Source organism: Homo sapiens, chromosome 2 (assembly GCF_000001405.40).
Source record: "Homo sapiens chromosome 2, GRCh38.p14 Primary Assembly".
Classification (NCBI taxonomy): Eukaryota; Metazoa; Chordata; class Mammalia; order Primates; family Hominidae; genus Homo; species Homo sapiens.
The window spans coordinates 231,501,746-231,516,989 of NC_000002.12; the positions used below are offsets into that span (position 1 = coordinate 231,501,746).

At 44.1% G+C, this 15,244-nt stretch overlaps 1 long non-coding RNA gene and 1 pseudogene across 5 annotated transcripts, besides 4 other annotated features; both read right to left on the bottom strand.

Moving 5' to 3' along the window:
- On the bottom strand, positions 245-456 carry RNU2-22P (RNA, U2 small nuclear 22, pseudogene; annotated as a pseudogene).
- LINC00471 (long intergenic non-protein coding RNA 471) lies at positions 342-12,632 on the bottom strand. 5 transcript variants are annotated; one of them, NR_199860.1, is made up of 6 exons: positions 12,337-12,632; positions 11,782-11,887; positions 7,433-7,598; positions 5,424-5,510; positions 2,390-2,611; positions 342-1,459 (listed from the first exon to the last, which is right to left on the bottom strand). It is a non-coding gene; the product is annotated as a long intergenic non-protein coding RNA 471 (long non-coding RNA). The 5 variants fall into 5 exon arrangements; NR_199863.1 differs by lacking the exon at positions 2,390-2,611 and having other exon boundaries at positions 12,352-12,632; NR_199862.1 differs by lacking the exon at positions 2,390-2,611.
- Positions 11,975-12,784: an enhancer, noted in NCBI's record as "H3K27ac-H3K4me1 hESC enhancer chr2:232378431-232379240 (GRCh37/hg19 assembly coordinates)". NCBI's record gives its function as "activates a minimal SCP1, AML or CMV promoter by ChIP-STARR-seq in naive H9 embryonic stem cells {active_cell/tissue: H9 hESC(naive)}" and the evidence as "EXISTENCE:reporter gene assay evidence [ECO:0000049][PMID:30033119]".
- Positions 11,975-12,864: a biological region, named in NCBI's record as "H3K27ac-H3K4me1 hESC enhancer GRCh37_chr2:232378431-232379240".
- Positions 12,355-12,534: an enhancer, noted in NCBI's record as "active region_17290". NCBI's record gives its function as "activates an Ori minimal core promoter by ATAC-STARR-seq in GM12878 lymphoblastoid cells {active_cell/tissue: GM12878}" and the evidence as "EXISTENCE:reporter gene assay evidence [ECO:0000049][PMID:35858748]".
- Positions 12,645-12,864: a silencer, noted in NCBI's record as "silent region_12429". NCBI's record gives its function as "represses an Ori minimal core promoter by ATAC-STARR-seq in GM12878 lymphoblastoid cells {active_cell/tissue: GM12878}" and the evidence as "EXISTENCE:reporter gene assay evidence [ECO:0000049][PMID:35858748]".

Consider the following 15,244-nt stretch of genomic DNA (forward strand, 5'->3'; position numbering starts at 1 on the left):
AGATGGAGTCCCATTCTGTCACCAGACTGGAGTGCAGTGGCCCAATCTTGGCTCACTGCAACCTCTGCCTCCCGGGTTCAAGCAATTCCCCTACCTCAGCCTCCCGAGTAGCTGGGACTACAGGAGCGTGCCACAACGCCCAGCTAATTTTTTGTATTTTAGTACAGACGGGGTTTCACCATGTTGGCCAGGATGGTCTCAATCTCCTGACCTCATGATCCGCCAGCCTCAGCTTCCCAAAGTGCTGGGATTACAGGCATGAGCCACCATGCCCAGCCTGCACCACACTCTTTTCTGGCATAGGTACTATGCTTTATTTCACATGGCCATGGAGTCTCTGGTTTCTCTTATCTCCCCTTTATTTATTTTTTATTATTTTTAATTTAGGACATATCAGATATTAAACTGAAAAAACAGATACTACACTTGATCTTAGCCAAAAGGCTGAGAAGTGATACAGTAATTCTTCAGGTAGAGAAATGATTACAAAGATTTAAGTATATTTAATTAAAACCTAATTAAACTTCGAGAAATTATATAGCTTTTGGCAGGAACTTGTTTGCTGGTTTTCTGGAGACTATAGGCAGAGTGCTCCCAAATCTCCTCCTAGTAAACACTGCTAACAATTTGGAATTTATTCTTTCAGATTTGTTTCCTCATATTTATCATGGCTTTCCAGGTCAATACATACAGTTCTATCTTATGCTTGAAGATCTGTAGTATTCTTTCTAGAGATTATGTTCATCAGAACATACTGCTACAGATTATTTTAGAGTTCACCTACACCAACATATTTAGCTCAAATGTATCTGTAAACCCAATACTCAATTTTCACCTCAATGACAATCCCTTCAAAATATATTATACTCCACCCTCTCTAATTTCACCATATTCACTCTCTTACTCTACCAAAGCCTAGATATCTAAGGACAGTGTTTCATTAATTGGTTACAACATAAACCTAACAATTCAATTCTATGTGCTATTTTGGTACCTGTCCAAGCAAGTTACTAAGTACATTATTCTAGTGGAGTCAGCCCTGGAGAGAGAAGACAGAATGTACATAATCTATGAATAAATTCCAATCTTCAATCTTGTACTTGGTAGCAGATGAAGTCTCTATTTCTCTATAGCACCACTACAGTTTTCTAGGAGTTTTGGCTGTCCCTTTATGATGTCCCCTTTGGCTTTTTATGCCTACTGGCAGAAATCTGGATAACTACTCTTTCCTTCTCTAAAATCAGGCATAAAAGATTTGAGAGAATGTAAGGAAATTCCATTATGTTTGTATCCAGTAGACATACATTCTTATTCAGTACGAGGTGCAAAACATACTTTTTACTCATCCCATCTTTGCTCACTAATCTGATTTGAAAAGCATCCTCAAACACTTCTTTTAATTCATGTGGAGTGACTTTGTCAGGCAGGTTCTTGATCAAAAGTGTTTTGGCATTTTGATCTACATAAAAACAAAAGAATATTTTTGGTGAGTTTAGATTTAGTAAGCATCAAAAGTCCCCTAAGATAGAAAAAATACCCCTCGGGTGGGGCGCAGTGGCTCATGCCTATAATCCCAGCACCTTGGGAGGCCGAGGTGGGCAGATCACGAGGTCAGGAGATGAAGACCATCCTGGCTAACACAGTGAAACCCCGTCTCTACTAAAAATACAAAAAATTAGCCGAGTGTGGTAGCACGTGCCTGTAATCCCAGCTACTCGGGAGGCTGAGGCAGGAGAATGGCTTGAACACGGGAGGTGGAGGTTGCAGTGAGCCAAGATCGCACCACTGCACTCCAGCCTGGGCGACAGAACGAGACTCTGTTTTAAAAAAAAAAGAAAAAAGAAAAAATACCCCTCAAAGAGTTGCAAAGTGGAAACAATACATCTTCATTAGTTTAACAAATATTTGAACACATACTCTGGGGTAGGGCCTGTGCTACATGCTCGCTGTGAAAACACGAACTTGGCCTCTGCTCTCAGGAATGTGTTCTTGTTGGAGAAGACTGGTAAATGAGGGTCATGTAGTTATAAACTTCGATAAGTGCCAGGATGGACAAGTAAAAGGGGCAATGAGGAAGTCTAGTAGAGAAGTTTACCCTAGTGTGGGGGTAAGGAAAGAGTTTTCTGATCTGAGGAAGTGATATTTAAGCTAAAACTGGATGGATGGGTTTCAAGTAGCCAGAGACTGAGTCCTGGAAAGAATGTTATGACAGAGAAAGGTGAGCCATGCAGCTCAAGCACAGGAGAGAGGGCAAGGTGCCACGGAGGCAGGTGGCCTGTCGGAAACTGAGGACTACTTGCATCAAATTAGAAAGAATGTGATATTCCTGCCTGACCCAGAATCTTCTAGACACATGGATACCTTTGAACAAATTACCTTGTTTGCATACCTTTGTTTCCTTTCCCTTTGGTTTCTTTAATTTCATACCCAAGGACTTTTGTATCACTTAGTTCCAAGGCTTTTTCTTGATCAGCAGATTTAAAATTCACATAACCAGCCGGGCGCGGTGGCTCACGCCTGTAATCCCAGCACTTTGGGAGGCTGAGGTAGGTGGATCACGAGGTCAGGAGATCGAGAACATCCTGGCTAACACAGTGAAACCCCGTCTCTACTAAAAAAATACAAAAAAATTAGCCGGGTGTGGTGGTGGGCGCCTGTAGTCCTAGCTACTTGGGAGGCTGAGGCAGGAGAATGGCGGGAACCTGGGAGGCGGAGCTTGCAGTGAGCCAAGATCGCACCACTGCACTCCAGCTTGGGCGACAGAGCAAGACTGTCTCAAAAAAAAAAAAAAAAATTCACATAACCAAATCTCCTACAGAGATGTAGAAGAAAAGGGAAAAAGCACACACAGGTAAGATGAAAAGCATATGCCTCTGGTTAGCTAATCACGCTAGCTGTTGGAATAGAAATTAGCACTAAGTCACGAGCAGCTGCCTAATTTACAGTTTAAAAGCAAGGCTCCACAAACTGGCAGTCAGTACTATGAAGTAACTATGGAGAACTAGTTCTTACCCAGGGGGCAAGCTTGACAATCTCTAGAGACATTTTTGGCTGTTACAAACAGGGAATCATCTAGTGTCTAATGGGTAGAATCCAGGGAGGTTGCTAAACATCCCACAATGAACTGGACAGCCACCATAACATAGAACTGCCCAGCCCAGACCCGGTGCAGTGGCTCATGCCTGCAATCCCAGCACTTTGCGAGGCCAAGGCATGCAGACTGCTTGAGCTCAGGAGTTTGAGACCAGCCTGGTCAACATGTATTTCCTGTCTCTACAGAAAATACACACACACAAAAATTAGCCAGGCATAGTGGTACATGCCTGTGGTCCCAGCTAGTCAGGAGGCTGACGTGGGAAGATGGCTTGAGCTGGAGGGCAGGGGTTGCAGTGAGCCGAGATCGCACCATTGCATTCCAGCCTGGATGAAAGAGCCAGAGGCCCTGTCTCCAAAAAAAAATTGTCCAGCCCAGAATGTCAGTAATGCTGAAGTCAAGAGACCTCGTTCTAGAGCAAGGACTGAGAATCAGTGCAGAGTTTGCCTATTGACATCTCTATTGGTTTTCTGCTTAACAACTGACAAAATTTAACCAAGAGCTATAGAAAGTGTGGCTTGAAATTACAAATTTTGGCTGGGCGCAATGGTTCACACCTGTAATCCCGGCACTTTGGGAGGCTGAGGTGGGAGGATTACTTGAGCTCAGGAGTTTGAGATCAGCCTGGGCAACATGGCGAAACCTCATGTACAAAAAAGGCATGGTGATGTGTGCCTGTAGTCCCAGCTATTCAGGAGGCTGAGGTGGGAGGATTGTTTGAGTCCAGGTGGCAGAGGTTGCAGTGAGCCATGATCACACCACTGCACTCCAGCCTGGGCAACGGAGTGAGACCCTGTTTCAAAAAAAGTTATTTATTTATGTATTTATTTTTGGCTCGGTGCAGGGGTTCACACCTGTAATCCCAGCACTCTGGGAGGCTGAGACTGACGGATCACTTGAGACCAGGAGTTCAGGACCAGTCTGCGCAACATGGCAAAACCCCGTCTCTACTAAAAATACAAAAATTAGCTGGGCATGGTGGCAGGCGCTTGTAATCTTAGCTACTCGGGAGGCTGAGGCAGGAGAATTGCTTGAACCTGGAAGGTAGAGACTACAGTAAGCTGAGATCGCGCCACTGCACTCTAGCGACAGAGGGAGACTGTCTCAAAAAAATTTTTTTTTGGAATTTTTAAGAAACAGGCAGGCCACAGTGAGATCGCACCACTGCACTCTAGCCTGAGCGACAGACGGAGACTGTCTCAAAAAAAAAAATTTTTTTTTTTAATTTTTAAGAAATAGGCAGGGCACAGTGGCTCACACCTGTAATCCCAGCACTTTGGGAAGCTGAGGTGGAAGGATCACTTGAGCCCAGGAGTTTGAGACCAGCCTGAGTAAAATAGCAAGACCCTGTCTCTAAGACTTGGAAGATCTTGGGATTATTTTAATATTTTGGTTGGGAAAATGGGGTAGCAAAGTTTAATATAACAGATTTACTAAACATGAGCCACTGAAGGATTTTACATATTCATTTTAAACTGCGAGTGACTGAGGTAAAATCCCACCAAAGGGTGAAGAGCAGGTAACAAAAGGACCTGAGAAGACAGCAGCCTATGAACCATCATGAAGTACTACAAAGCTACTGGAACATCTAAATTCTCCAGGAATAGTAAGTGCTGGGCTGATATGCTCTTAAAAACCTTCTTAGTTGATTGGTATTTACCTGGACAAGCCAACTTTGACACCAACAACTTCAAGATCATTTTTAGCAAAAAATTCACTGAGGCCAACTTTTAGTTCAGCAGCAGTTTTGCTGAAATTCAGGTTTCCAACAAACAGTTGGAATGCTACACGTGGTTCAGTTGCTACACAAAAAGGTAAAAAAAAAAAAAAAGAACTCAGTTCAGAAAAAGTAGCACTAAAAGAAAATCCACTGAAAATTGTAACACCAAGCTTCTGTAGCAAATCCCATTGTTGCTCATTTGGGCTAATGGAGACTAAGTTTTTGCCAATGTGACATTCTCCATGCATCTCCTGTGCCTTAAACCACGGCCAACACGCTACCTTCTAATTTCTTTTCTTTTTCTTTTTCTTTTTTTTTTTTTGAGACAGAGTCTGGCACTGTTGCCCAGGCTGGAGTGCAGTGGCGCAATCTCGGCTCACTGCAAGCTCCACCTCCTGGGTTCACGCCATTCCCCTGCCTCAGCCTCCCGAGTAGCTGAGGCTACAGGCACCCGCCACCACGCCCGGCTAATTTTTTGTACTTTTAGTAGAGACAGGGTTTCACTGTGTTAGCCAGGATGGTCTTGATCTCCTGACCTCGTGATCCGCCCGCCTCGGCCTCCCAAAGTGCTGGAATTACAGGCGTAAGCCACCGTGCCCGGCCTGTTACCTTCTAATTTCTGCTTTTTGGCTCCAGGGGACTCTTTCTGATTGGCCATTTCCTTCTTTTGTTTATCAGGTGTTTCTTTGATAGGTTCTGTGGGTGAAAGCCAGAATATTGCATTTGTAATCAACTGCTTGGGCCACTAATGAGTAAACTGGAAACTTTTATGCTATCCACAAACATCATTCCTAAGCTACACTTAATTGTCACAAGACTCATGAGTTGAGTCTGGTCAGGGTACTTTTAAAAGCATTTCTACATTAATAAGAAAGTTATTAAAATTAATAAAATAAATACAACAGCCCCTTCTGATGGGCTTCACTTACAACTAGCATTCCATGATGCCAGCCATACTGCTTAACAGGGCTGATTCAGATCATCCGACCTTCCCCCTCCTCCTCTTCCTCACTGCCTTTGCCACTGCCACTGTCGTCATCCTGTTCATCATCTTCAGCCCTCATGGGAAGGTCTTCTCTAACTTTCATCCCAGCTTTATCTTTTCCCCCACCCCTAGAATCGCAAGGGAAGCCACCTAATCAATTATTACATAGACTAGTTAAGAATGACAAATTCTCCTCTCAGAGAACAATTGTTCTTTTATATCTGGCTGTATACAAATATCTAAGAAAAAAATTCACAGCCACTTTAACTTTTATTTTATTTTGAGATAGGGTCTCACTTATGTTGCACAGGCTGGAATGCAGTGGTGAGACTACGACTCACTGAGGCCTTGATCTCCCTGGCTCAATCCATCCTCTCACCTCGGCCTACCTAGTAGCTGGGATTACAGGTGTGTGCCACCATACCTGGCTAATTTATTATTTATTTATTTATTTATTTTTGAGGCGGAGTCTCACTCTGTTGCCAGGCTGGAGTGCAGTGGTGCAGTCTCGGCTCACTGCAACCTCCACCTCCTGGGTTCAAGCGATTCTCCTGCCTCAGCCTCCCAAGTAGCTGGGATTACAGGCACGCACCACCATGCCCAGCTAATTTTTGTATTTTTAGTAGAGAGGGGTTTCGCCACATTGGCCAGGCTGGTCTTGAACTCCTGACCTCGTGATCCGCCCACCTCAGCCTCCCAGAGTGCTGGGATTACAGGTGTGAGCCACCATGCCCACATACCTGGCTAATTTATTAATTTCTTGTAGAGATAGGGTCTCGCCCTGTTGCCCAAGCTGGTCTTGAACTCCTGGCCTCAAGCGATTCTCCTGCTTCAGCCTCCCAAAGTGCTGGGATTACAGGGTATGAGCCACAACACCCAGCCTCATTTTAACTTTATTATGAAATAATTTTAAATATATTGTTCTTGCATTTTAATAACTATAGTAAGAATTACTGCTTTGGTAGCAATATTTTAAATGTTACACAGACTCCATCAAGACAGAAAAAAACCACTGAAAATTAAATCTGAGACGACCTACCTGCGTGGATCATAAGCATAAAGACAGAACTCATCAATGTATAGTATTCAAAGAGAAAATTTCTGGGCTAGGCATGGTGGCTCATGCCTGTAATCCCAGCACTTTGGGGGGCCAAGGTGGGAAGGTCACTTCAGGTCAGGAGTTCAAGATGGCCTGGCCAACATGGCGAAACCCCATCTCTACTAAAAATACAAAAATTAGCCAGTGTGGTGGTGTGCGCCTGTAGTCCCAGCTACTCAGGAGGCAGAGGCTGCAGTGAGCCAAGACCACACCAATGCACTCCAACCTGGGTGACAGAGCAAGACTCTGTCTCAGAAAAAAAAAAAAAAAAAAAAGGAAAAAGAAAAAATCTCTGACTAGGGTCAGGTAGAAAGCAAAAGTCAAACATCCACTGAGACTCCCCATCAATGAGGCCCATCCCGAAGAATCAGCCGGGAATTGCCAAGGCAGTTTTCAGAGGGATGGATTTTTAACAGAACCTCTCCCCAAGTGCTGTAGAATGGCACACACAGCAGCTTGTCTCTAACTCACAGCCACTCATCGGGAACCCCCTACAGAAGGATTCTTTATCTTCCTCATCCTGGTCCAACTCACTGTTCCTGTCTTCATTCTCCTGGTGGCTCTCACGGTCCTTGAGCTTGGCTCCCCTCCTGCTTGGTGATATTAACTTCTCAGCAAACACAGGAGCCAGAGACTTTTCCTCCCCTTTCTTTCCCGGGACAGTGGTATTCTTCCTGCAATTCTTATGAGGGACAAGAACCTGGAGGAGAAACAGCAACAATGAAAAGATGCCTCTTCATGAAGCTACCATCACACTGCACAGTCACTAAGTGCAAGATTCGGGTCGTGCATGTAAGTCAACAACTATTTCAACTCTCTAGGATGAATTTCTCCTAGAGAAATGTAGTAAAAAGCTTCCAGCACCAGAATCACCTGACATGCTTGTCTAAAGAAAAAAAACAAGGCCAGGCCCGGTGGCTCACGCCTATAATCCCAACACTTTGGGAGGTGGAGGTGGGTGGATCACCTGAGGTCGAGAGTTTGAGACCAGCCTGACCAACATAGAGAAACCCCGTCTCTACTAAAAATACAAAATTAGCTGGGCGTGGTGGCGCATGCCTGTAATCCTATCTACTCAGGAGGCTGAGGCAGGGGAATTGCTTGCACCCAGGAGGCGGAGGTTGTGGTGAGCCGAGATCATGCCATTGCACTCCAGCCTGGACAACAAGAGTGAAATTCTGTCTCAAGAAAGAAAATTAAAAAACAGAATGCTGGGCATGGTGGCTCATGTCTGTAATCCCAACACTTTGGGAGGCCAAGGTGGGCAGATCACCTGAGGCCAGGAGTTCAAGACCAGCCTGGTCAACATGGTGAAACCCTGTCTCTACTAAAAAAAAAAATACAAAAACTGGCCGGGTATGGTGGTGGACACTGTAGTCCCAGCTACCTGGGCAGATGAGACATGAGAATTGCTTGAACCCAGGAGGTGGAGGTTGCAGTGAGCTGAGATCGCACCACTGCACTCCAGCCTGGGTGACAGAGTGAGACTCTATCTCAAAAAAAAAAAAAAACAAAGAAAAATTCTCAGACTTCACTTAGCACTAACAAACCAGAATATCCACAGGGAAGCATCCAGATTTCTACAAGTAGGGACGCTACTGACCCAGGAGAATATACATCAATTATTCATGTCATTAGAGCCCCAATTCTGACTCTGTGTGACGGGTCAGTGTCAAAATGCAGGTGCAAAACAGTTTATTCAGTGTACCAGAGGGAAAACTAAAACTACCTTTAGGCTATGTATATAAGGTATATATGAAACATAAATGAATTTTGTGTTTAGACTTGGGTGCCATCCCCAAGATATCTCTTTATGTATCTGCAAGTATGCCAAAATCCAAAAAATCTGAAGTCTAAAACATTTCCAGTCCCAAGCATTTCGAATAAGGGATACTCAACCGATACAGTACATGCTCTCTTATCTATGTCAACGTAACCAACTGGCTGGATTAAATGACTGTCTCAATTCCAAACAGGTCTTACTATAATAACTTGATGCTTATGAAATCCCAAGCATGAGTGGGCCACTCTGTGGTACTCCTACTAATGTGATGTCTCTATGCCTGTGAGCTGAACTGTATCTTTAATAAAAACCCGCTGTGTTGTTTGCTAACCTGTATTTGCAGTTTCAACTGCAAAATTAACTAAACATCACATAAACCAATACCATCAACGCAAAAAGGGTGGGGTGCAGTGGCTCACACCTATAATCCCAACACTTTGGGAGGCCGAGGCGGGCAGATCACATGAGGTGAGGAGTTCGAGACCAGATTGACCAACATGATGAAACCCCATCTCTACTAAAAATAAAAAATTAGCCGGGCGTGGTGGCACATGCCTGTAATCCCAGCTACTTGGGAGGGTGAGGCAAAAGAATTACCTGAACTCAGGAGCTGGAAGTTGCAGTGAGCCAAGACTGAGCCATTGCACTCAAGCCTGGGCAACAAAAGTGAGACTCCATCTCAAAAAATAAAATAAAATAAGTGCAAAAAGTTATTGAGTCTATGAAAACAAACTTCAGTGCTTTGGAGGTACTTGATAAAGCTTAAAAAACTGCAATCAAGTTAAGGGTGCATGAGCAACCATAAAAGAATGGGAAAAGCTGTAAAACTGTGGGAATCTGTATTCAAACTGCTTTACTTACTAGGATGTTAGAGTTTTCCTTTGCTTTAAAGAAACAAACTTTAAATTGCAGAAGATGCATTATGTGTGTATTTTATGCAGGGAAGATAAGCTACTCCAGCAGTGGACTCAAAGATAAGGCCTTGGTCCTGTATCAAAATATTGCCAAAAGAATACATAATGTCTTAAATTAAAATCAAAAGGTATGGATGGATAATTTTCATGATTTCCCTACTTTTACTTTTTAAAAAATTGTATAAAGTGTATAACTGTTTTAATATACTTATGGCAAAATGGTTACTACAGTCAAGTAAATTAACAAGTCCATCATCCCTAATAAGTGTGTGTGACAAGGGCACCCAAAACCCACTTTTACATTTGATTAATTAAAACAATTAGACTGAAGAGGGTTGAAGAAAGTTTCTATCACACAACCAGCTGCTCAAAATGGACAACAAATAAATGCTATCTGCCTCTCAGAACAAGCTGCTTAGGAGAAGACTGAGAAATGAATGGGGAAGGTATAGGGGGTTTGGATTCAGCAGACCTATGTATAACCCTGGCTGTCACTTACTAGTTCTGGAAACATGAGCAAGCTGGTTAATGGCTAAATCTGCTTTCTTGTCTAATTTTAGTATATGTGCTGCCGAAGCGAGCACACTTTCTTGTCTAAAAAATGGAGCTATATGATGCCTACCTAACCCGGTCACAGTGAGGATGAAATGAACCAATGTATAAAGCAGTGGTCCCAAACCTTTTTGGCACCAGGGACCGGTTTTGTGGATGACAATTTTTCATGCATCCGGTGGGAGGGGAGAGGGATGATTCAAGTACATTACATTGATTGTGCACTTTATTTCTGTTATTACATTGTAATATATAATGAAATACAACTCAACATAATGTAGAATCAGTGGGTGCCCTGAGCTTGTTTTCCTGCAACTAGACAGTCCCATCTGGGGGTGATGGGAGACAGTGACAAATCATCAGGCATTAGATTCTCATAAGGAGCGTACAACCTAGATTCCTCACATGCGCAGTTCACAATAGGGTCTGTGTTCCTATGAGACGCTATTGCTGCAGCTGATCTGACAGGAGGCGGAGCTCAGGCAGTAATGCAAGCAATGGGGAGGCAGCTGTAAATTCAGATGAAGCTTCCCTCACTTGCCCACCACTCACCTCCTGCTGTGCGGCCTGGTTCATAACAGGCCATAGACCAGTCTGTGGCCCAGGGCTTGGGGACCCCTGGCATAAAGCCCTTGTACAATGGCTGCACATGTGAAACATTCCATATTCATTAGCTGTGTACCCACTAACCCACCTTAATTCTTTCAGGACTCAACTTAAACCTATCTATTTTCAAATTCCAAAGGAGAGACTCTCAGAAGAACATAGTGAGGACTATGTCAAAAGAAGAAATATGAAAACATGTTTGGCAGGTACACAAAGTAATAGACTTTTTTTTTCTTTTTTATTTTTTAATTTAAAACAGCCAGGCAGGGCTGAGGGAAAGCACCGCCCTCCTGGGCCATAAATGAATGGATTTTAATGAATCAATTTAAAGAATGAAGAGATTTAAACCAGTATTACCAGAAAACCAGTATCACTTTACAAACAAAGAACACCTTGGCATTCCCAAAATAACCCACACTTGGTCACGATACATTATGATGTATTACTCTTTGCATAACATTGATATTCAATTTGCTAATATTTCTGGAATTTTTGTATCTATGCTCATTAAAGAGAGAGTGGTCTGTGATTTCTCAAAATGACCTGGTCAGGTTTTGGTATCCAGTTTAGTGTGGACTTGTAATACTAGTTGAAAAGTGTTTGCAATAGCACTTTTGAGGTTTGTGTTTTTTGTTTTTGTTTTTGTTTTTTTGCTTTGAGACCGACTCTGTCTCCCAGGCTGCAGTGCAGTGGCACGCTCACTACAACCTCCGCCTCCCGGGTTCAAGCAATTCTCCTGCCTCAGCCTCCCGAGTGGCTGGGACTACAGGTGGGAGACACCACGTTCGGCTAATTTCTGTATTTTTAGTAGAGACGGGTTTCACGATGTTGCCCAGGCTGGTCTCAAACTCCTGAGCTTAAGCGACCCACCCTCCTCTGCCTCCCAGAGTGCTGGGATTACAGGCGACGGCCACCCAGCCCGGCCAACTTTTGAGATTAAACAATGCAGTTTAACTGCTTTACTCTGGATTTTAATTGTTGGCATTAATAATAAATTCTACTCTGCTCAACTCTGTACATATAATTACCTCATCTCTACTGCCATTGTCCTTAGCTTCTGACATCTCATCTTCCCCATCTTCTACCTCCTTTGGGGAAAGACTTATTTTCTTCAGTTCACCTTGACCTTTTTTCCTGCTCAAAATAGACAAGATTATTATTAGGCACATGACAAGGCCTTCACACATTCCAAGCCAGGCACGTTTTGTCTCTGGTATTTCCAACAGTAAACTGGCATTTGGAATAAACTTATGTTAGGCCTCATCTTAACTTTTAATTTTCATTTGGTATCTTTTACTCACACCAGCGAACAGAAAAACAAATACAAAAGGTGATTTTTGATGTTGTAGGTGAGGTCTCCCATACCTCTTCTTTTGCCACAATCGATAAGTGGAAACTCCTTAAGAAAAAAAAAAAAAAAAAAAAAGACAAATTCCCAGGAATTCCTTCCTATTCCTCTCATTCTGATCCGTCACGTGTTTTCAAGTAACTGTTTAAAAAATATATATATAGTTCCACTACAGACTACTCAAATGGAAGCACATTGGGCCAAAATACAGGGGACAAAGGGCCAAAAACAGTACCTGCAATTCAAGTACCTTTACTTCGCCAGTCAGATAATTCTGTGAACTGGGTCAGCGTCCATCACTACCCCCACCAGAATTCAGAACACACATGAGTCTATAACCCTCGCTGCCCACAGCAGCCCTTGTCCCTAACAGGTTTTCCTTTAAGGCTGTCGCGGTGCGCCCCTGCAAGCCACCGCGCGTGACGGACGCGGGCACGACGCCTGGGGACAGCCCGAAGAAAACCGCAGGCGCCGACACGCTGGTGACGCCCTCTCAGCTATTGCCCCAGATCCAAGGCGCGCGGGGAAGACGGCCACGTAAAGATACGGCGCCCTGGTGACTCCGCCTCGCCCAATCAGAGCCCGCGCAACCCCTGAACCAATCCTGAGCCGCGACCCTGGGAGGGGCGGGCGGTGCGGGAGCCTGGGGGCGTGAGTCTTGAGCCGGGGTGGAGGGGGGGCCGCACGTGCTGCGCCTGCGCGTGGAGCGGACATTTTGCTGCGGTCTAGCGCGGGAGGCGGGGTTTTGGGTTCGCTGGTCCAGGTGCGCGCGGTGTCCCAGGTCTTCGCGCCAGGTTGGCGCGGGAGAAGGCCGAGGTGCCCCAGAGTTCGAGGAGTTGGTGACGGTCACGCGGTGCGACGCTCCATGGCGGAGGGGCAGTCGGAAAGTGAATAGCACTCGTTAAAAGCGACCAGTCCGTAAGGGCGCGTGTGTCGGCGCCGTTACGGACCCCAGCGCTCGGGGTCGTTAAACCGTTTAAGTCGCGTCCCGCCCAGTGAGGGCTATGTTAGCGTCCTCGCCGTTTCCAGCCGTGAAGGAGGCACTGAGACGACAGCTGAGGGTCTCTCCGTTAAGGCTGTCGCTGCTGTAGGGGCCCTCGCCCGCTGCGTGTTTGTGCCACCCAGCGTACTGGGTGCTTTTTCAAAATTTTATCATGGACGTCTCAAAACACACGTGTGACTTAGATGGTAAAAGTTTCATTTTTCATTTAAAGAAGTTGAGGCTCGGTAGTTAAGGTTTAATTCTCCATCACTTAATACTCTCGTAGTTTTTTGAGTTGGACTGTCATGAACATGTGCTCTCACAAGGCCTCATGGCCATTAACACCAGTAGCCCCAGTAGGAGGATCAAGCTCCTCGGAGTTAGCCCCATGTTGGAACTTGAACAGTGACACTTTGGGGATATTGTGTGTGTTTTTAGGGGATAGGGAAGGGTGATCTTGAGTAAGGAGCCCTGGCCTTATCCTAGCTTCAGAAAGACCCAAACTGGGAAAGAATGAGAATAGAAAAAACAATCTGCCTACCTGTTTTAGATTTGGTACCTCACCAAACTCTTGTTACCTAGCTAACTTTATGAGATTAGCCCAAATATTTTAAGAAAATATTATATATATCTGATCAAGAACAACTGAAGAAAAGGCAAAAGCCCATTTCATTTAAGAACAGATGCAGGGTTCAAATAAAGTATTAGCAAATTGAATCACCACTCCCTGCCAGGAAGTATTATTAAAATCAATAACAAGGACAGGATAAGTCACAAGCAAAATCCATAAATGTGCCAAAATATGGCACCTTGGCAGTTGAGAAAACCACAGAAGCAAGGTCTCTGTAAGTAATCTGCTCCCTCCCATAAAGCAGGGTCATAAAGGAATTCACTGGCCTACCTCATGTGAAGTAGGTTGTAAGACCCTCATTCCAGAGGAGTCTTGTGCCATACCTGGGGAGGAGAAGTGTCATGCAGAGACGCAAGAAAGAATCTGAGCAAACGGGCCATGCCGAAGTCTCCTCCCACCCCTATGTATGACCATTAGATGATGCCCCTTTTGTCCAATCATGTTTCTGCACAACTATCTACTTCTTTCATCAGACTTAGCATAAAAATACAGTTTTCTTTAGGTCATGGGGTCTTCGTTTCTTAAGGTTCCTGTGTCACATAAGACTTTAAATTTGTTATGCCTTTCTCTCATTAACCTTGTTATAGGGGTGTCAGCCATAACCCTTAAGATGGGAGAGGAAAATATTTTCTCCCCTACCAACGAAATGATGACAGATTTGACCACATTACAATTTACAACTGCTGGATGCAGGAGTTTCTATAAACCAGTTTAAAACATAAGGAACAAATTAGAAATATTTGTAACATATACAAAACAAATTTAATATTGTAATATGAATGAAATACAAATCAAGAAAAAAACAAAAATGGCTGAAGGATATGAAAAGCCATTTTCAGGAGAAATTTGAGTGGCAAAGAATGAAGACATGCTCAACTATACAACCATTAGGGAAATGCAACTTAATAAGATACTTTATCTGTCAGAGTGACAGAAATTACGAGTGTTTGGGGATTGTGGAGAAACTGGTAAAAGGGCAAATTGTTACAAACACTTGGAGAGAAATTTGGCAGTTTTAGTAAAGGTAAAAATACTCATTCCTTCCTTTAGCAAATCCACTTGCATGTGTCTAACATAGAGAGCATTCAAACTGCTGGAGAGACATATACGTTAATCTTTATTGCAAATTTTGGGAGTTTTTTGTTGTTGTTGTTGTTGTTTGAGACAAGAACTTGCTCTCACCCAGGCTGGAGTGCAGTGGTGCCATCATGGCTCACTGCAGCCTTGACCTCCCAGGCTCAAGCAATCCTCCCGCCTCAGCCTCCTGAGTAGCTGGGACCACAGGCATGCATTGGTTAATTTTTGGGGTTTTTTTTGGGGGGGGTGTTGTTGTTGTTTCTGTAGAGATGGACTTTTGCCATGTTGCCCAGCCTGGTCTTGAACTCCTGGGGTCAAGGGATCCTCCTGCTTGAAGCCAGGAGTTTGAGACCAGCCTGGGCAACACAGCGAGATCTCATTTCTACCAAAAAAAAAAAAAAAAAATTAGCTGGGTGTGTGCCAGTAGTCCCAGCTACACAGGAGGCTGAGACA